At 56.4% G+C, this 20,930-nt stretch overlaps 1 protein-coding gene across 1 annotated transcript, besides 3 other annotated features; it reads right to left on the reverse strand.

Moving 5' to 3' along the window:
- On the reverse strand, positions 3,037-20,406 carry P4HB (prolyl 4-hydroxylase subunit beta). Its single transcript, NM_000918.4, has 11 exons — positions 20,198-20,406; positions 19,052-19,258; positions 15,324-15,457; positions 15,013-15,150; positions 7,114-7,218; positions 6,818-6,943; positions 6,300-6,500; positions 5,742-5,862; positions 5,432-5,613; positions 5,015-5,101; positions 3,037-3,963 (listed from the first exon to the last, which is right to left on the reverse strand). Exons 1-11 carry the CDS (start codon positions 20,340-20,342, stop codon positions 3,883-3,885), a joined length of 1,527 nt encoding a protein of 508 aa, NP_000909.2. The 5' UTR covers positions 20,343-20,406; the 3' UTR covers positions 3,037-3,882.
- Positions 15,348-15,847: an enhancer, noted in NCBI's record as "H3K4me1 hESC enhancer chr17:79813353-79813852 (GRCh37/hg19 assembly coordinates)". NCBI's record gives its function as "activates a minimal SCP1, AML or CMV promoter by ChIP-STARR-seq in primed H9 embryonic stem cells {active_cell/tissue: H9 hESC(primed)}" and the evidence as "EXISTENCE:reporter gene assay evidence [ECO:0000049][PMID:30033119]".
- Positions 19,997-20,096: a silencer, noted in NCBI's record as "silent region_9153". NCBI's record gives its function as "represses an Ori minimal core promoter by ATAC-STARR-seq in GM12878 lymphoblastoid cells {active_cell/tissue: GM12878}" and the evidence as "EXISTENCE:reporter gene assay evidence [ECO:0000049][PMID:35858748]".
- Positions 20,307-20,526: a silencer, noted in NCBI's record as "silent region_9154". NCBI's record gives its function as "represses an Ori minimal core promoter by ATAC-STARR-seq in GM12878 lymphoblastoid cells {active_cell/tissue: GM12878}" and the evidence as "EXISTENCE:reporter gene assay evidence [ECO:0000049][PMID:35858748]".

The raw sequence follows: 20,930 nt of genomic DNA on the forward strand, positions 1-20,930 counted from the left end.
TTTAAAAATTAGCCAGGCATGGTACTGGGTGCCTATGGTCCCAGCTACTTAGAATGCTGAGGTGCAAAAGATTGCTTGAGCCCAGGAGTTTGAGGCTGCAGTGAGCTACAGTCACACCACTGCACCCCAGCCTGGGCAACAGAGCAAGACCCTGTCTCAAAAAAAAAAAAATGTCCAGTGAATGCAACCAGCAGTGCTCTGCAAAAGCACCCGGGAGACCCTGTTAGTAAAGTCAGCTGAGGCCAGGCGCAGTGGCTCACGCCTGTAATCCCAGTACTCTGGGAGGCCAAGGTGGGTGGATCACCCGAGATCAGGAGTTCGAGACCAGCCTGGCCAACATGGTGAAACCCCATCTCTACTGAAAATACAAAGATTAGCCGGGCATGGTGGTGCATGCTTGTAATCGCAGCTACTCAGGAGGCTGAGGCAGGAGAATCACCTGAGCCCAGGAGGCAGAGGTTGCAGGGAGCTGAGATCGCAGCGCTGACTCCAGCCTGGGCAACAGAGTGAGACTATGTCTCAAAAAAAAAAAAGGAAAAGTCAGCGCAGGTCGCACTGCAGTCTGGCAGGAGGGCCAGCCTAGGGCCAGAAGGGCCCTTCCCTCCCTGAGGTCAGAGGCCCCCCGGGGTGTGGTACATAGACCCAGCAATCACTGTTTTAGGCTCCAGGCCGGTGGCTTCCTGGCACCTGGAGAGACAGAGGGTTGGGAAGTCCCAGGCTGCTAAGCCCTAACCACCTCCTCCCAGAGCCTTCAAAGTCTCCCCACTAATCCAGCAGCCCAGTCAGAGAGGTTTTGGACACTGCCCCACCACCTCCCAGCCACAGCCGAGCCCAGGAATGTGCTCATCAGCTGCCTCTGCAAAACGGGAAAGGTATCAGTGACTCCCTCCCCTTTCCAGAGCACATGACACCAGTGCTGCGGGCAGCTGTGCCATGTCCCAACGTTCTCTCCAGAGGGCCGGCTCCCCGCACAGCTGGTCCACAGGGTCACTGCACCCCATCCCACGGCCAGGGAGCACAGGCACAAATACAGCCCACCCCTTTAGCTGTGACTCAGGACAGCCTCCCTCAGAGACCCTGCAAGGAGCCACAGCCCTCGGGCCTCTGCCCACATCCTCCCACGGCACCTCCAGATGCCGTTGCCCACTTTTCCGTGAGTACGCGGCTCACTGTGTCGCAGGACCCAGGCATGGCACACAAACCCTGCTGAGGCCCTGGAGCTGAACTAGCCAGAAACCAGCCCCAGCACGGGCTGTCTCCAAGACCCACAGAGCTGGGGGCCGGGGCAGACGGCAGCACCCAGACTGCCGAGCTGGTGTGAGCCGTGTGGGGCCAAGGACATGTGGGCAAACCGGGCTGGCTGGTGCTGGCGACGTGTTGACACAGGTCCTCGCGGCATGCTGGCCGGATACTCCACAGCCTGGAGCAGAGGCAGGAGGAGCCGGAGCGGCCGAGTTTGTGAGGGCCTGTGGGGCCGGCAAGGGAGGTAGCGGGGAGAACGGGAGAACCGCACCCCCGGCGAGGCCTGGTCTGGCTTGAGAGCCGTCTCTGGCTCCAGCAGCTGCAGCCAGCCCGCAAGCTCGGGAACTGGGAGGACACCCGGGAATCTCGGCAGTGCGGAAGCTCCTACTCTAGGAAGCACATCAGGATGTGAAGTTGGCGGGGCTCACAGAGTCACAGGCAGGGCTCCTCAAGGCAGCCTGGTGAGGGTCGTTTGTTCCATCCGAACTTCTGAGGGCCGAGCAGCCTCCCTAGAGCTGCAGCTCCACCCCCACTCCCACCTGCCACCTGCACCCTTGGGCTCCTTCCTCCTGCCTCACCGCCCTCTGAGACCACCATGAGCCCTGCTGGATCCTCAGGGCCTCTGCCGTTGCCCTCAGGGGGACCCACAGACACCACAGAGCTCCTGTTGCCTCCCCTGCAGAAAAGCAGCAAATCCAGGCTCAGCAGAGCCATCGCCCAGCCCTGCACACAGGCCGCGGCTTGCCGTCTGCAGAAAAATTGACTTTCAGCCGGGCGCGGTGGCTCACGCCTATAATCCCAGCACTTTGGGAGGCCGACGCGGGCAAATCACGAGGTCAGCCAGCAGATCCTGGCTAACACAGTGAAACCCCATCTCTACTAAAAGTACAAAAAATTAGCCGGGCGTGGTGGCGGATGTCTGTAATCCCAGCTACTCAGGAGGCTCAGGCAGGAGAATCACTTGAACCCGGGAGGCGGAGGTTGCAGTGAGCCAAGACAGCACCATTGCACTCCAGCCTGGGCCACAGAGCAAGACTCCGTCTCAAAAAAAATCGAGTGTATGTGTTTTTTCTGCATGTGAAGCACAGGAGTGCTGAGGTTAAGCCAAATTACAACTTAAAGACCAGGAGATCCTTATTTTTAGAGACAGCTCTGTCACCCAGCTGGAGTGCAGTGGCGCGATCTCCGCTCACTGCAGTGTTGACCTCCTGGGATCAAGTGATCCTCCTGCCTCAGCCTCCCGAGTAGCTGGGACTGTAGGTGCAAACCATGCCCAGCTAATTTCTAATTTTTCCTAGAGACGGGGTCTCCCCGTGTTGCCCCAGCACTGGGATTCCAGGCGCGCGTCCCTGCGCCCAGCCCTGCCCTTTATCGTGTGAAGGGTTAGTGATAAGCAGGGCCCCCTGTTCCTCTCACCCATCCTTGAAGCCTGAGTCCACCTGATTTCTCGTCACTCCACGGCGGGGATGGGAGGGAATGACCAGGAGTCTGAGCATCACATGGGGCTGGGTGGCTCCACCCGTGTCCACATCCAGGGTCCAGAATCACAGAAGCCCCATCAGAGTCCAGGTAAAGCAGCCTACAGGCAGGGAAGGCATCCTCCCCGGGAATCGCAAGCCTGCACAGCTCTGCTGGGGAGACTGGGGCCTGTTTCTGCATCTGCACCTCGTCCCAGGGGCGAGGCCTCTCAGCACCAGTAACCCCACTAAGGCCTGGCAGATGGCCTTGGCGTCCGCATTCCAGCCCAGCTCTCCGGGCTTGGTGAGATCATAAACCCGAGGCAAGGACAGGTGGTAAAATTTCAACTTTATTTGGCCAATGTGTTCAATTCGATTGTGAAATAGAAATGCCTGAAGAACTGTCAGCGTCTGATTCAGCTCCAGCATCCTTGGCCACCTCCCCACCCGGGAGTCAAGGGTCGTGGTTCTGCCTTGAACAGGCCACAGGCCGTGCTGTAGAGAGGCCAGTGGTCACAATGAGCCCACGACAGGAGGAGGAGCCCTGGCTTGAGGGAAGGGGAAGGCCCAGGCCTGTGCCGGGCCCCAGGGCTGGCAGCCACCAGCTCCTCTTCCAGGCATGGGGGACACCCTGACAGGATCCGGAAGTCTCCATTTACCCAAAAATGCAAGAGCCATGATCAGTCATGGCGACACTGCAGGCGGTACTGAGTGACCATGTCCAGTCCGGCTCCGTCCCTCCCACACGGGGGACAAGCTTCTCCGAGGAGGCCTGGCCAAGGTGGAACAAATACCCTGATGTCGAAAAATGTCTAAAAATCCCACAGACGGAATTTTCAAAAAGAGGAGAAACCTCCCGCGGGAGGGAGGCAGCGAGACTCCGAACACGGTAGCAAGCACTCTGGACAGACTCATGTATGAAAAAGTACATCATGGTTTCAGGAAACAAGCCCCACCAGGGTGGGCTGCCTGGAGATGGATCCCTTTCCAAAAACCGAAAAGCAGAAGGAAGAGACGGGGGTGAACGGACGGTGTGTAGGGGTGAGGTGTCACTTCAGAGAGGTTCCCTGGGTTTCCGGCGACGCCCTCCTTCAAGCGAGGCCGCAGGCTTCGGAGGCGTGCGCTGCTGCTGGGTGTGCAGCCCCCGAGGGGTCTCGGCAGCGCCCGGGTCTGGCTTTGCGTATTACAGTTCATCTTTCACAGCTTTCTGATCATCGTCTTCCTCCATGTCTGGCTCCTCTGCTTCTTCCAGGTCCTCGAGATCCTGGGATACAGGAAAAGGGGCGGGGCGGGCAGGTTGGCTGCAACAGCTGAGGCTGCCGGCCCCCAGCACCCCACACTGCTCACACCGGGGACTAGCCGGCCACGGCGGACATGGCCACCGGCCACTGGAGCAGCCAACCCTGGTCTTTACGAGCTACACAGGGGTCTTCCCAGGAAGAGTGACGCCTGGGGGATTTCTGCCTATAGCAGGATGAATCAGAGCCCCCACTGTGTCAGGAACCCTGGGAATCCCAGCTCAGCCTTGGACCCTTCCACTGGGCATGGAAGGCGTATGTGTGTCTCCCAGCTTGGCACCATGGAGTCTACAGAGGGTCCACATCTCGGCAGGGACAACAGCCCCAGCATGAAGTCCAGGCACAGTCACCACTGGGGTGTGACCATTCTACTTCCAACCCTTGGGCTCTGGCCAATGACAGGCCACAGGCAGCACCAGGGGCCGGCCCTCCATCCCCAGCCTGGGCAGAGTATTCCCACCTCCCACTGTGCACCAGCACTCCCAGCAGGCCCTGCCAGCCTGGGCTGACCATGCCCTCATCTCCTTCACCATGGTCAAGCACCCCGCCCCTGCCGCATCCTCCCAACACCAGCCTTCCTGCTTCCCCGGCAGAGTCACCACTGCTGCTGGCCACGCGCTGACGGGCAGGACTAAACTCCCGAGGGCAGACCCATGTCTGCGCCCTTGTGCCCGGGCCCCGCCAGCGGGCTGGGGATGGACCTCTGAGTCCAAGTTAGCAGCATGTGAGGAACCGGTGCCATGTGTCTGAAAAGGTTTTCTAAGCAAAATCTGGTTTTTAAAGATGCCTTCAACGTCGTCCCCTAAAGAAGTGCTGGCCAGGGAGAGCTGTTTCAGCAGAGCACTGGGAGCACATCCCTTGCCCTGCTGGGCGAAGGTGTGGGGCCCCAGAGCCCTGGACGCACAGACGTGCCTCCAATGGCACCATTCCCATCACAAGCCGAGCCCAAGTGGGCATGTCCCGTGGGGCCAAGGGGCTGAATCCCAGAGACCAGCCCAGGGCTGTGACCCCACTCACGTCATCATCCCCTGCCCCATCCTGGCCACCGCTCTCCAGGAATTTCTTAAAACCATCCAGCGTGCGTTCCCCGTTGTAATCAATGACCTGTGGAAGACAGGGATGAGTGCAGGGGCTGGTCCCGGCCCAGAGCCAATCTCCTGGCATTGGCTCCTCCTCCCTAGAGAAAGGCAGAGCAGGCCCGGTCCGGTGGCTCACACCCGGAATCCAGCACATTGGGAGTTCAAAAACAGCCTAGGCAATATAGTGAGATCCCATCTCTCTCGAAAAACAAAGGTGGGTGCTTCTGAAGGAGCTCCCACAGCTCTTCTCCCACCTGACTAGCCCCAGGCTCCTTCCAGAGAGGCACCCAGGCTGGCGTGGGGACCACTGCTCTTCCCAGAGCCCGCCCCAGCCCCGTCTGGAGGGAAGGCGCACCGTCCTGTCGGCACTGGCAGGAAAGAACTTGAGTGTGGGGAAGCTGTGCACTTTGACGGCCTCCACCTCGTTGGCAGTCGAGTCCATCTTGGCGATGACGATGTTCTCATGGTCCTTGTACGTCTCTCCCAGTTTATCCCAAATGGGAGCCAACTGTTTGCAGTGACCACACCATGGGGCATCTGAAAAGAAAGCAGTTCTAGGGTGTGTCCTGGACACAAAGCCACTGGCAGACGCTTCCCCAGGAGTCTGCCTACCTTGCGCGTGCCCTGGTGGCACGGACCTGGGGAGCTGAAAGGGCAACACTTACAGAACTCCACAAAGACGTTTTTTTTCTCATCAAAAGCCACGTCTTCAAAGTTCTTCCCAACAAGCACCTTGACAGGCTGCTTGTCCCAGTCCTCCGGCAGCTCCTGGCTCATCAGGTGGGGCTGGAGGGCAGGCAGGGCACGGTGAGGGGCGGCGATGCCTGGGGGACCACAGAGCTCCCCAACCCTCACCCTGCCCGGGACTGAGGTGCGTGGCTGCCCTGGGCACACCAGGGTGGCAGCCGCAGACACCAACAGTGCCAAGAATCCAGAAAGAGAAGGCTGGGCCAGTGGGCTGGGCCCAATGAGCCCACGCAGGCCGCACCCTCGCCGGCCAGGAGGTTTCCCTGAGGAGCATCTGGGCCAGCCGTGTGGACAAGAGGGCTCCTACAGGTCCCCAAAGGTGTGACAAGAATGGTGGTCTTCACACCATCTTGGGCTCCGTCCTCTTACTCTGAAGATCTTACTTTGAGGACGAAGCCCAGGACACTGAGAGCCCAGAGACCCCAAGGTGGCGGCTCTACCCGGGAGGCAGCCCTGGCCCGGGGACGCGCCTGCACCTTGATTTTGCCCTCCAGGAAGCGGTGGCAGAACTCTGTGATCCTCTCTGCCGTCAGCTCCTCCGATTCGGGCTTGTACTTGGTCATCTCCTCCTCCAGGGTGATGAGGCGCACGGCCGGGCACTCTTCCTTCTTCAGGCCAAAGAACTCGAGGATGCGCTGGTTGTCGGTGTGGTCGCTGTCGATGAAGATGAACAGGATCTGGGGGAGAAAAGGAGGTTGCACAGGTGCGGGAGACGGCTGGCCTCTGCCTCCAGCCCTGACTTTGCTCGGAAGCAGACCGTGCTCCGGTGCCTTTTTCCTCCAACCTGGATTCCGGGGTTGCCCAACCAGACCAGCAGGTGACTGGGAGCAGAGGTCTGGCCTGGCTGGCCCCTCGCCTACATCCAGGCTGTCCTGAATCAGGTGCCCGATCCAGTCCAGCAGGCAGCCTCAGGAAGGCCCCACACTTGTCACCTCGGGAAGAGTTGTACTGCTCCCTGGCACCGCCCCACGAGCCACCCAGAAGAGCAGCTCACCTTGCCCTTGAAGCTCTCGGCTGCTGTTTTGAAGTTGCTCAGTTTGCCGTCATAGTCAGACACACTCTTGGGCAAGAACAGCAGGATGTGAGTCTTGATTTCACCTCCAAAAATCTTCGGGGCTGTCTGTGTTATAAACTTAAGTTACTGGGTCTGAGTCACACACTATTAATGCAGAAGATTCTCCCAATGGCCTCCAATGTCAGACGCTGGACAGCAGTGGTGACCGGGAGCCTCATGCCACCCCCAACCCACTCCTCCCCATCCCCAGCCTGGGGGCTGCAGGGCAGCCGCACCTGCTCGGTGAACTCGATGACAAGGGGCAGCTGGTTGTGTTTGATAAAGTCCAGCAGGTTCTCCTTGGTGACCTCCCCTTCAAAGTTGTTCCGGCCTTCATCAAACTGTGGACAGAAAGAGGGCCCTGACTGAGCATTGCTGCTGGGAGCACAGCCCCTGGGCCCGGGTCTCCCTGGACGTGGGAAGTCACAGCAGCCAGCAGCCCTGCCCTCCCGTGGGGTTTCGAGCCACAGGTCCAGCAATGGGTACAGGACATGGCTGTTCCTCGACAGTAAGACTGGCTCTGGTCACGGCCTTATGGCTGCCCGTGAATTCAACAGCTGGCTTCACATCCACAATGCAAGCCTGGCGCACGTGGTCCTCCAGCAACCTTGAAGTGTGGCCCATCCCCAGGGCCCCTAGCCTTTTCAGGGCACCCATGTGGTCAAAGCTATTTTCTTTTTTATTTGTTTTTGAGACAGTCTCGCTCTGTTGCCCAGGCTGGAGTGCAGTGGCATGATCTTGGCTCACTGCAACCTCTGCCTCCCAGGTTCAAGTGATTTTCCTGCCTTAGCCTCCCGAGTAGCTAGGACTACAGGCGCCTGCCACCATGCCTGGCTAATTTTTTTTTGTATTTTTAGTCGAGATGGGGTATTACCATGTTGGCCACGAAGGTCTTGATCTTTTTTTTTTTTTTTTTGTGATGGAGTCTTGCTGTGTCTCCCAGGCTGGAGTGCAGTGGCGTGATCTCCACTCACTGCAAGCTCCGCCTCCCGGATTCAAGCCATTCTCCTGCCTCAGCCTCCCAAGTAGCTGGGACTATAGGCGCCCGCCACCACCGGCTAATTTTTGGTATTTTTAGTAGAGATGGGTTTCACCACGTTAGCCAGGATGGTCTCAATCTCCTTACCTCGTGATCTGCCCGCCTCGGCCTCCCAAAGTGCTGGGATTATAGGCGTGAGCCACCGCGCCCGGCTGGTCAAAGCTATTTTCACACTCACACTTCTCTGGCCTCTGCCTTTTCACTCTCCCTCTCACGTGCTGCGGCACAGACCCACAGAGGCTGCTGGGCGCATGGTGTCGCAAGAGCAGGAGGGCAGGAGAGGAGAATCCTGCTGGAGGAATCTAAAACATCACTCAGCACTAAATTGTTTTTGTCTGGGACAAACTAGTTTCCGTAAAGATGTGATTTATGATAACATGTAATGGGATTATTATTCTTTTAAAATAAATTTGGCTACAGTGGCTCAGGCCTGTAAGCCCAGCACTTTGGGAGGCCAAGATGGGTGGATCGCTTGAGACCAGGAGTTCGAGACCAGCCTGGCCAACACGGTAAAACCCCATCTCTACTAAAAATACAAAAATAAGCTGGGCGTGGTGGCGGGCACCTGTAATCCCAGGTACTTGGGAGGCTGAGGCAGGAGAATCGCTTGGACCCGGGAGGCGGAGGTTGCGGTGAGCCGAGATCGCACCACTGCACTCCAGCCTGGGCGACAAGAGCGAAACTCTGTCTCAAAAAAAAAAAAAAAAAAAAAAAAAAGGCCAGGTGCAGTGGCTCACACCTGTAATCCTAGCAGTTTGGGAGGCTGAGGCAGGTGGATCACTTGAGTTCACGAGTTTGGGACCAGCCTGGCCAACATGGTGAAACCTCGACTCTACCAAAAATACAAAAATTTAGCTGGGTGTGGTGGTGCACACCTGTAATCCCAGCTGCTCGGGAGACTGAGGCAGAAGAAACACTTGAACCCGGGAGGCAGAGGTTGCAGTGAGCCAAGATCGTGCCACTGCACTCCAGCCTGGGCAACAGAGCAAGACTCTGTCTCAAAAAAAAAAAAAAATACAAAAATACAAAAATCAGTTGGGTATGGTGGCACCTGCCTGTAATCCCAGCTACTTGGGAGGCTGAGGCAGGAGGATTGCTTGAGTCTGGGAGGTAGACATTGCAGTGAGATCGCACCACTGCACTCCAGCCTGGGTGACGAGTGAAACAGGCCAGGCGTGGTGGCTCACGCCTGTAATCCTAGTACTTTGGGAGGCTGAGGCGGGCGGATCACCTGAAGCCAGGAGTTTCAGAGCAGCCTAATCCAACATGGTAAAACGTCGTCTTTACTAGAAATACAAAAATTAGCTGGGCGTGGTGGCGGGTGCCTGTAATCCCAACTACTTGGGAGGCTGAGGCAGGAGAATCGCTTGAACCCAGGAGGCGGAGGTTGCAGTGAGCCCAGATCGTGCCACTGCATTCGAGCCTGGCAACAGAGCAAGACTTCATCTCAAAAAATAAAAAATAAAAATAAATAGAGAGAAAAAAACGATTTTTTACATTCTTAGTTCTAGTTTCTAATACAACAGATCCTGAAAGGCGCAATCCACGTGCCTGTAAGGCCCTGGGGACCCCTAATAATGCACGGCAGCTTCAGGGAGTCCTAAGGCCACAAGATGGAGAGGCTGTGGCGCCCCAACCACGAGGGGTCAGCCTGCAGCTGAGGATGCGGCCTCGGCTCAGGCTCAGAGAGGCGCCCCTGTGCTGAGGCTCTTCAAGTGAGAATTTTGGGTGAGCCTTCCATCATTCCCCCGAACTACTTTTTTATTTATTTTTAAAATTTATTTATTTTTTTATTTTTTGAGACGGAGTTTTGCTATTGTCACCCAGGCTGGAGTGCAATGGCATGATCTCGGCTCACTGCAACCTCCACCTCCCGAGTTCCAGCAATTCTCTTTCCTCAGCCTCCCGAGTAGCTGGGATCACAGGCACCCGCCACCACGCCTGGCTAATTTTTGTATTTTTAGTAGAGACAGGGTTTTACCATGTTGGCCAGGCTGGTCTTGAACTCCTGACCCCAGGTGATCCACTTGCCTCGGCCTCCTAAAGTGCTGGGATTATAAGTGTGAGCCACTGAGCCCGGCCCAAACTATTTTATTTTTTTTTTGAGACGGAGTTTCACTCTTGTTGCCCAGGCTAGAGTGCAGTGGCAGGATCTTGGCTCACTGCAACCTCTGCCTCCCGGGTTAAAGCAATTCTCCTGCCTCTGCCTCCCAAGTAGCTGGGATTACAGGTACGCGCCACCACGCCTGGCTAATTTTGTTTTTTTAGTAGAGATGGAGTTTCTTTCTCCATGTTGGTCAGGCTGGTCTTGAACTCCCGACCTCAGGTGATCGGCCTGCTTCGGCCTCCCAAAGTGCTGGAATTACAGGTGTGAGCCACTGCACCTGGACAGAACTACTTTTTAAAATACTTATTTATTTAATTTATTTTATTTTATTTTATCTATTTTGAGACTGAGTTTTGCTCTTGTTTCCCTGGCTAGAGTGCAATGGCACGATCTCGATCTTGCCTCATTGCAATCTCCGCCTCTTGGGTTCAAGTAATTCTCCTGCCTCAGCCTCGCAAGTAGCTGGGATTATAGGCATGTGCCAACACGCCTGGCAAATTTTGTATTTTTATTAGAGATGGGGTTTCTCCATGTTGGTCAGGCTGGTCTCAAGCTCCTGACTTCAGGTGATCTGCCCGCCTTGGCCTCCCAAAGTGCTGAGATTACAGGCGTGAGCCAGCGTGTCCAGCCAAAAAAATTTATTTTATTTTTACTTTTTGTAGAGACAGTCTTACTATGTTGCCCAGGCTGGTCTCAGACTCCTGGCCTCAAGCAATCCTCTTGTCCTGGCCTCCCTAAGTGCTGGGATCACAGGTGTGAGCCACCAAGCCTGGTCCCCTTGAACCTTTTTTTTTTTTGAGACAGAGTCTTGCTCTGTCGCCTACGCTGGAGTGCAGTGGTGCTTCTCGGCTCACTGCAAGCTCCGCCTCCTGAGTTCACGCCATTCTCCTGCCTCAGCCTCCTGAGTAGCTGGGACTACAGGTGCCCGCCACCACGCCCGGCTAATTTTTTGTATTTTTAGTAGAGACGGGGTTTCACCGTGTTAGCCAGGATGGTCTCGATCTCCTGACCTCGTGACCCGCCCACCTCAGCCTCCCAAAGTGCTGGGATTACAGGCATGAGCCCCTGCACCCGGCCTCCTCAAACTTCTTAAATGAGACTTGGGGAAATAAATCACGCATCCTTTCTTACTGGCCGTTTCCATGTATGCGTCTGCAGAGTAACTTAGAGACCAGGTGCCACTCCCTGCTCTTGTGCACGCTGTGCCTGGGCCACCCTGGCCTGGCCTGACTGCCAAGGAGCTGATGTTAAACCAGGGCACAAGCACCAACCACCCTGCCCGAACCCGAGGGGCAGAGGCTTCTAAGCCTGCTACCTCTTCCCCAGAGGGGCAAAGGCGGGTAAGGAGAGGCAGAAAAGCCAAGTTCAGGAGGCCCTTGGAGGGAATCCTTTGGAACATGAGCTGCTGATCACAGCCGTGCTCCCAGTGGCACGGGTGGGCTCGCACTGTGCCCAGGAGTAACGCCGGGCCGCAACTGCAGGCAAACGAAATCCCCCCACCCCTGCAGAACAATGTCTCTGACTCCCTCCAGAGTGTCAGGCGCCGCCTACACCATCTCATGCCAAGAAGCCAGGAGGAGACACTGCCGCAGCTGTCCCAGGGCTGCCATCGTTTCAGCAGAGATGCTACACCACACTCAATCACGGTCTACTGCGGTAAGGGAAACTGGTCCACTTAGCAGGGCACAGCAGCAGGAGGCCAGCCCTGCCAGGCCACGGTGACAAACAGCATAGAAACGCCCAATGCAGGCCGGGTGGTATGGCTCACGCCTGTAACCCCAATGTTTTGGCAGGCTGAGGCAGGAGGATTGCTTGAGCTCAGAAGTTCGAGACCAGCCTGGGCAACACGGTGAAACCCCATTTCCACAGAAGTATTAAAAAATAGCCAGGTGCGGTGGTGCACACCTGTGGTCCCAGCTACTCAGCAGGCTGGGGTGGGAGGACTGCTTGAGCCCAGGAGGTCGAAGCTGCAGTGAAGTGTGATTGTGCCACCGCACTCCAGCCTGGTAACAGAGCGAGACCCTTTCTCAAACAACAATAACAGGCCCAGTGCTGCCAGCTGGGGGAGAAGAAAAAGTGAAATATCAGAAGCTCTCACACCCATGGTGCCAGTGACCAGCAGCCCCCGCAGAGGTTTTCCTGGGTTGCAGTGCCTGCTAGGGAAGGAAGGGAAGAGCAGGCAAGAGCGGGCCACACAAGAGCACCCGACTCAGCCAGGCTGCCCACTGTGGCCACTGCACACACAGGAAGGCCTCACTCACTTTGAGGGATGGGGGTTAACAGCCTGGTGGAAAAGGAACAAGTTGGACTCATCCTCTCAGCTGCGGGGTGAGCTCTGACTTCCAGGGCAGCCCCTACCACGTGCACCGGACAGGGGGCCGGGCTTCTGCCCGGAGCTGCCTGCAACGACCACGTTCGCCATCACAGACACCTGAGCCACCTTCAGTGGGCAGGAAAGCGCCACCCACCAACTGGCATCAAACCCAAGTGGGTTTGTCTGTGCCCAGCTCTAGTGGACTCCAGAGAATGGAGACAGAACGTTAACCTGTGGGGAGCCCACATGGATGGCCACGTGTGAGCCTTTGCAGGCAAGAGCAACGAAACCACCCTCCCAGCCTTCGCGGACACATATCACCAAACTGTCCATAGAGTCACAGCGGCCACTGCAGACATCCAGGGCACTGAAGGAGCTGTGGGCTGTGTGACAACACAGGGTTCGCGAGTTTCGTGGGCTCTGGAGAAAGTCTGCCCCAGAACCCAAGTTTCAGGACAAGACTTGGAACTTTCTCTTTAATAAAAGCTCTAAAAAGACCTTTGGTTCCTTCAACTTTATCCAACACTTCACTGGCTTTTTCTAGTCAGAGGTTTAATTTCCTGGGCACCTTGCAATGGCAATAGACTAATTTAGCAACTCTCTTCCCTTCAGGGGACATCAAGAGAATGTCTCCTGGTAAAGAGCATCTACTGTCTTGAGTTATCTTGAGGAAGTGGCTGCAAAAACAGCTAAATGACAAGAACAAGAACATGGAAGCAAGCCATCCTGACCCACCCGCACCACCGCGCTCCAGGAAGCTGGCTCTACCCTCCCTCCTACCTGGTCCCGGGGAGTGCTGGATGCTCCGTGCTTACTACAGAAAGTGAATGGGTCGGTGGCTCACACCTGTAATCCCAGCACTTTGGGAGGCCAAGGCAGGCGGATCATGAAGTCAGGAGTTCGAGACCACCCTGGCTAACACGGTGAAACCCCGTCTCTACTAAAAATACAAAAAAATTAGCTGGGTGTGGTGGCGGGTGCCCTGTAGTCCCAGCTACTCGGGAGGCTGAGGCAGGAGAATGGCGTGAACCCGTGAGGCGGAGCTTGCAGTGAGCTGAGATCGCGCCACTGCACTCCAGCCTGGGCGACAGAGACAGACTCTGTCTCAAAAAAAGAAAAAGAAAAAAAAAAAGAAAGTGAATGGGTTCCTTGTGTCCAAAACCACTCAGCCCCAATCCCAGAGGCTGCCCGTCTGACCGTTTGGCTTATGATGCTGCTGTCTAAAAGGTTCTTCTCCCCTCTGGAAACGACACAGGACAGGAGCTGAAGGTCCGATCGCCCCCGGCCGCCCTCCTGCCCCTCACTCCCCAGGTCCCTCCTCTCCCGAGACTTTCTCTCCTATCCACACTACCCTGGCTCTGAGCGGCACAAACCCACCATCACCCACATCCAGGTTCAGCTGTCCCTAGAGCACAAGTGTGCGGCCCCAGCCCCACCTGCCTGGTGACCGAGAAAAGAGACAATAGAAACCCACAGGCCCCATCTTGACACTGTGCAAACAAGGACCCTGCTGTGTCCTGGTAACGGGGAGAGGCGGCTAAGAGGCCACACTGTCCAGGAGCCCTTCCCCAGGAGAAGGACAGCGGGATCAGGATGGCAGTTTTCACAGTGGATCCTTAGGGGTCATAATGCCCTTGGGGCTGAGGGGCATACGAAGTGTGGGTGCCACCTGGGTGGGAACACGCCCAGAGCGCCAATACTCCAGACCTCTGGGTAAGGAAAACGTTCTGGAAATAGGGATGCTGCAGGACGCTCTGAATGTAGTTAATACTTTAGAATAGTTAAAACGTGGCCGGGCGCGGTGGCTCACGCCTGTGATCCCACCATTTTGGGAGGCTGAGGCAGGCAGACCACTCGGAGCTCAGGAGTTCAAGACCAGCCTGGACAACACAGCAAAACCCCATGTCTACCAAAAAATACAAAAACTCAGCCCAGCGTGGTGGCACGCGCCTGTAGTTCCAGCTGCTCGGGAGGCTGAGGTTAGAGGATCACTTGAGCCTGGGAAGCAGAAGTTGCAGTGAGCTAAGAATGCACCACCGCACTCCAGCCTGGGCGGCAGAGTGAGAAACCCTATCTCAAAAAAAAAAAAGGCAAACGGGGCCAGGCGCGGTGGCTCACATCTGTAATCCCAGCACTTTGGGAGGCTGAGGTGGGTGGATCACGAGGTCAAGAGATTGATACCATCCTGGCCAAAATGGTGAAATCTCATCTCTACTAAAACAAAGATTAGCTGGGCATGGTAGTGCATGCCTGTAGTCCCAGCTACTCGGGAGGCCGAGGCAGGAGAATCACTTGAACCCAGGAGGCGGAGGGTGCAGTGAGCCGAGATCACGCAACTGCACTCCAGCATGGGTGACAGAGCAAGACTCTCCCAAAAAAAAAAAAAGGGCAAATGTTGTTACATGTTTTATCATAATTGAAAAAAAAAAAAAAGCTAACAGTCAAAAGCAGTTCTGAGGCGGCTGTGGCAGGAGAGTGGCCAGAAAGCCCACAGCTGAATGCGAAGACCAGGCCACAGGCATCAGCGCAACACCCCAACTTGGCAAAGCTGCAGAACATACCTATTGGGCCAAAGGTGCCAGGAGCAAGGTTCCCTTAACGATAAGGAGAGCAACGCCACCCTCTGCAGACCAACCCCAGAACTAACCTGGGCAGAGCTGCCTGGGGCCACTCACCTTCTTAAAGAGGACAACCCCATCTTTGTCGAGCTGGTATTTGGAGAACACGTCACTGTTGGAAGTGATCCCAAATGGTATGTCATCGATGGCCTCTGCTGCCTGCAAAAACTGCTTGGCAGAGTCCGACTCCACGTCCTGAATGAGGAGGGAGAAGCAGAGGTCGTCATGATCCCGCAGCACCAAGCAGTAGGGCAGACCCTGTAGAGCCCAGGCCAGGGGGGACACGTGCAGAACTGCCAGCTGCAGGCTGTGGACCCCTCCTCAATGGATGACGGAAGGAAGGAAGACTGGAATGCTCTGGTCTCTACCTTGAAGAAGCCGATGACAGCCACCTCGCTGGACTCCACCAAGGACTCTGCAGCTGCGCCGTCAGGCAGGGTGGTGGCAGCCGGGCCCGTGCGCTTCTTCAGCCAGTTCACGATGTCATCAGCCTCTCTGCCAGCTAACCCCAAACAAATGTAGGTTCTACTCTCAAACAGGGAGTGCCGCCTGCCCTGCCGCGCCTGCTCCCGTCTCTGCTCTCTGCCAGCCAGGCTGAGGACACCTGAATCAACCTAAGTAAGATGTTCTCCCACCATGGAAGAGGCCCGGTGCCGTCCGCCCGCCTCCTAAACCCCAGTGTACGTGAGACTGTGGTTGTGTTTATGGGGAGTGGAGAGGGAAGAGGGTGATTCTGTCTCTGAATAACAGGATCACAAACCCATTTTTTTTCTCTGATCTCTCTGCATTTTCTTTTTTCTTTTGACACAGGGGCTCACTCTGTTACCCAGCTGGAGGGTAGTGGCAGAATCTTGGCTCACTGCAGCCTCCACCCACTGGGCTCAAGCAATCTTCCCAACCTCAGCCTCCTGAGTATCTGGGGTACAGATGCACGCTACCACACCCAGCTCATTTTTGTATTTATTGTAGAGACGGGGTTTTGCCACGTTGCCCAGGCTGGTCTTTAACTCCTGTGCTCAAGCAGTTTGCCCACCACGACTTCCCAAAGTGCTGGGATTACAGGCATGAGCCACCAATCCCAGCCCTTTTTTTTTTCTTGGAAGACAGGGTCTTGCTCTGTCACCCAGGTTAGAGTGCAGTGGCATGATCATGGCTCACTGCAACCTCGAACTTCTGGGCTCAAGCAATCCTCCTACCTCAGGCTCCCAAGTAGCTGGGACCACAGGCATGTGCCACCACACCCAACTAACTTTTTTTTTTTTTTTTTTTTGAGGCGGAGTTTTGCTCTTGTTGCTCAGGCTGGAGTGCAATAGTGTGATCTCGGCTCACTGCAACCTCCACCTCCCGGGTTCAAGCAATTCTCCTGCCTGACCCTCCCGCGTAGCTAGGATTATAGGTGCCCGCCACCACACCCGGCTAATTTTTGTATGTTTAGCAGAGACAGGGTTCCCCATGTTGGCCAGGCTGGTCTCACTCCTGACCTCAGGTGATACACCTGCCTCAGCGGTCTCCCAAAGTGCTAGGATTACAGAGGTGAGCCACTGCGCCCAGCAATGTTTCTTCTTTTTTTTTTTTTTTTTTGAGACGGAATCTACCTCTGTCGTCCAGGCTGGAGAATGCAGTGGCGCCATCCTGGCTCACTGCAACCTCCATCTCCCAGGTTCAAGTGATTCTCCTGCCTCGGCCTCCCAAATAGCTGGTATTACAGGCGCCCGCCACCATGCCCAGCTAATTTTTGTATTTTTAGTAGAGACGGGGTTTCACTGTGTTGGCCAGGCTGGTCTTGAACTCCTGACCTCGTGATCCGCCCGCCTCGGCCTCCCAAAGTGCTGGGATTACATGCGTGAGCCACCATGCCCGGCCAATTTTTCTATTTTTTGTAGAGATGGGGTTTTGCCACGTTGCCTAGGATGGTCTCAAACTCCTGGGATTAAGCAGTCCGCCCACCTCGGCCTTCCAAAGTGCTGGGATTACCGGGATGAACCACTGTGCCCAGCCCTAGCTAATTTTTGTATTTTTTGTAGACAGGGTTTCACCATGTTGCCCAGGATGGCCCTCTGCATTTTAAAAATTTTATTTTTTGAAACGAAGTCTCACTCTGTCACCCAGGCTGGAGTGCGGTGGCACGATCTCAGCTCACTGCAACCTTACCTCCCAGGTTCAAGGGATTCTCCTGTGTCAGCCTCCCAAGTAGCTGGGATTACAGACGTGCACCACCACGCCCGGCTAATTTTTGTATTTTTAGTAGAGACGGGGGTTTCACCATATTGGCCATGCTGGCCTCGAACTCCTGACCTCAGGTGATCCACCCGTCTCAGCCTCCCAAAGTGCTGGGATTACAGGCATGAGCCACCGCACCCAGCCTGTCCTCTGCGTTATCTAAATTTTCTTTGACATGTACATCCATCAAACACATGTTCTCACCCAGGAGTCTGACAGCAGGCCTCATTTTAGAGAGGTGGACAGTAACTCAAAACTCAGTGCCAGTTTTCTACCTCTGGGAACAGGCTGACGCCCCGCCCACCTGACTCCCGCGCCTCCTAACTTATCCCAGGCGTTTCGGGAGTTCTCGCCAATGGCCCACCCTCCATGCCTCCCAGACCAGGAAGAAGATGACACACTTTTATGCCACCAAAGGCGGTCAACTGACAGGAAAGAAACTTCCTCCTCCTGGGAGACTGAGGCTAAGGAATGATGCCTCTCCTTTTTCCCTCCTAGAACTTGACTCCCTGGTCCGAATCGGGAAAACCCCATTCAGATGTAGAAGGATTCCACCAGTGCTAACAAGACGGTCACCAGTGACAAGTGGATTTAGGAGTGCTCATCTCATCTGCAAACCTGAGTGTTAGTGACAGAACCACGGTGACTTTGGACAGAGCACTTCCCGTTCCAAAAGTGAACATGAGTAAAAAATGAGAACATCAATCACGCCTGTAATCCTAGCACTCTAGGAGGCCGAGACGGGTGGATCACGAGGTCACGATCGAGACCATCCTGGCCAACATGGTGAAACCCCGTCTCTACTAAAAATACAAAAATTAGCCAGGCGTGGTGGTGCACACCTGTAGCCCCAGCTACTCAAGAGGCTGAGGCAGGAGAATCACTTGTACCCGGGAGGCAGAGGTTGCAGTGAGCAGAGATCGCACCACTGCACGACAGAGCGAGACTGTCTCAAAAAAAAAAAAAAAAAAAAAAAAAGGAAACATCAAAACAGCCAAGTGAGAGGCAACCACAGAGCTGCTGCCACTAGAACAGGACAGGGCACACCTGCTTAAGGGGACAAAAGGAAACATCAAAACAGCCAAGTGAGAGGCAACCACGGAGTTGCTGCCACTAGAACAGGACAGGGCACACCTGCTTAAGGGGAGAACCCTGCTAACACTGGAATGAGCTGCTTTCGGGCTACCCACCATGAGCATCTGACATGCCACAGAACCGGTTTTATAGACGAGTTTTCTTTTGCCACCGTCACTGATCTGGCTACACAGGGGCTCGGCCTCCACTACGGCAGCTTCAGAGGCGGCAGACGAGCAGCTGAGGGCCCGTGCTACAGACGGAGCAGGGCGGGCTTGGATTCGAGGTCTGCTACCGACAGGCTCGATGCTGTTACTCAGCTGCTCTAAGCCTCAGCCCTTTGTCTGGGAAAAGCCCGCCTCACAGAGAGGATGCGAGGAGAAATCACGCAAGCACGTGACGCGGCAGCTGGCACGCTACACACGACAGCTAGCAGGTGTCACCCCGAGAGCTACAGCCATGCTGCTGCTCCTAGGAACAGGGGGCAGCACAAACAGCCCATGTGGCCAGAAAGGCACCAGTCTCCCTCTCCTCGCTGGTCAGTCTCCAAACAGACCTCAGCCAGCCGCCCCCAGGATGGCACCAGACAAGACAGGTTCTCCATTCGAAGGTTCTTCCAGGATGAAAACTCCTCACAAGACCCTCAGGGCACAAGTGGACAGAGAACCCGGCCTGAGGAACGGGATCCCTCCAAGCCTCTGGAACCCGGCCTCCCCACCGCTCAGACAGCTGCCCCTGCCCTTCCAAGTCGGCAGGCCAGTCCCTCTCTAAAGACAGTTCAAGGGCAGTGCCACAGCCACACCTGTATATTCCTTGGGGGAAGCCGTGTCTCCATTCCTGAAGAACTTGATGGTGGGATAGCCGCGCACGCCGTACTGCTGGGCCAGGTCAGACTCCTCCGTGGCGTCCACCTTGGCCAACCTGATCTCGGAACCTTCTGCCTTCAGCTTCCCAGCGGCTTTGGCATACTCAGGGGCCAGAGCCTTGCAGTGGCCACACCAAGGGGCATCTGGAAGCGGAAATGAGATGCTAGAAAGCAGCCTTGATCCCTAAAGCAGCCTTGATCCCTCAGCAGTGCTTCCCTTTTTCCTCTGGCATTTCCCTTCATAAAAACCTTATCTACTCACCAAGATAACCCCTCCTAACGCACAAGGCTGAGCTGATAGCCTGGTGTTCTTGGGCAATATCAGGACAGAGGCCGTGAACGACAAACTACCACCAACCAACACCAGCCCCCACTCTGCTATGTCACCATCAGCACAGCCAGACAAACCTTTCAATGGTTGCTGACTTCTTATTCCCCACAGGCAACTAAGGCAAGGATCTCCCCTAGACTTTCCCTTTAAGACTACAGACAAAAGTGAAGAAGTGACCGTGGCGGCCTGTACCAGCACTAGCTGTGAGTATGAGATGCACATCCGTGCACACAGACCCTGAGTTGCTTAGGGTGAGAATAAGACGATCTGTCAATAGAGTTAGCAGCTGTGTCAGGCACAAGGTTCCCACCCCAGGGACAGAGCTCAAATCCTTATGGACGTGAGGAAGGCTTGGGATTCTCCTCTGAGACACCATCGGAAGGACTGCTGTGGCAAGCTGAAGGTGGGGTGGGCAGGAGCGGGGCGCCTTCCGGGTCGGCCCCCGGGGAGGACTCGGCAAGGCTGGACACTGGCTTGCTCTGTTTGCTCACACAGGTCGATCCTGTTCTTCTCGCACTAACAGGAAGATCCTGCCGTGCGCAGGGCGGGCATCGGGACGGCCCCCCGGCTCCCAGCCCGGCTCTCACCCCCAGGGAGCCCCTGACATGGCCCCCAAGGCGGGCAGCAAGGGAGCCCTTCAGTTCCGGGCGCGCCGGGGGTCCCGACCCCGGGGGCTGCCGGGCCGTGCCTGCGTCCCAAGAGCCTGGCTCAGCGGCCCCGAGCCCCGCCCGCCCGCCAGGCCCGGCGCTCACAGAACTCCACCAGCAGGTACTTGTGGGCCGCCAGCGCCTCCGCGAAGTTGCTTTTCCGCAGCACCAGGACGTGGTCCTCCTCCTCGGGGGCGTCGGCGCGCACCAGGGCGGCCACGGCCAGGCACAGCAGAGCGCGGCGCAGCATGTCGGACACGGATCAGGCGGGGCGCTTCGGTTGGCGCCGCCGGGACAGCGGGGGCGACGAGAGCGCGCGCCGGTCCCGGCCTCGCCTTTATAAATCCTGGGTCCGGGGCGCGCCTGCCCCCCCGCCCGCGCGCGCTGGCCGCGGCGCGCACGCGCCGCTGGGGCCCGCCTTCGATTGGCCGGCGGACTTCGAGGCTCGTCTTTGCCGCTCTCGGATTGGACACTCACACCAGGCCTGGCCCCGGATTCGGAAACGCTCCTGAGTGCTCCCTGGCCTTCGTTCGGGATTGGCCGAGGACCTCGCGCTCGCTGTCTTTCTTAGCCTCTCATTGGCTCCCGACAAGAACTTTTTCTGCCTTGGCTTCTAATTGGTGGCTTTCGCCTGCACCTTCCACGGGTCTGGAATGGCTGCCCCTTTCGGTAGCACGGACTCTGCGCCTCCTGATTGGCCAAGGGATGCGCGCACTCTGCGCGTTCCTTCGTCGAACGTGGCAGTGGGGAGGAGTTCCCAGTTTAGGGGCGGAGCTGCGGCTGCGCTTCCGAAACCCCTCGTGTTGCATTCTGACTGGACCGCGTACCCAACTGGCAC

This window comes from Homo sapiens, chromosome 17 (genome assembly GCF_000001405.40).
Source record: "Homo sapiens chromosome 17, GRCh38.p14 Primary Assembly".
Lineage (NCBI taxonomy): Eukaryota > Metazoa > Chordata > Mammalia > Primates > Hominidae > Homo > Homo sapiens.

Coding starts and splice junctions, on each gene's coding strand:
- P4HB (NM_000918.4), bottom strand. CDS start 20,342: ATGCTGCGCCGCGCTCTGCTGTGCCTGGCCGTGGCCGCCCTGGTGCGC. Junction 7,219..15,012: donor GGGTTGTCCTCTTTAAGAAG/GTGAGTGGCCCC, acceptor TTCTGTCCACAG/TTTGATGAAGGCCGGAACAA. Junction 5,102..5,431: donor CTGCCAGTGCCGACAGGACG/GTGCGCCTTCCC, acceptor TGTCTTCCACAG/GTCATTGATTACAACGGGGA.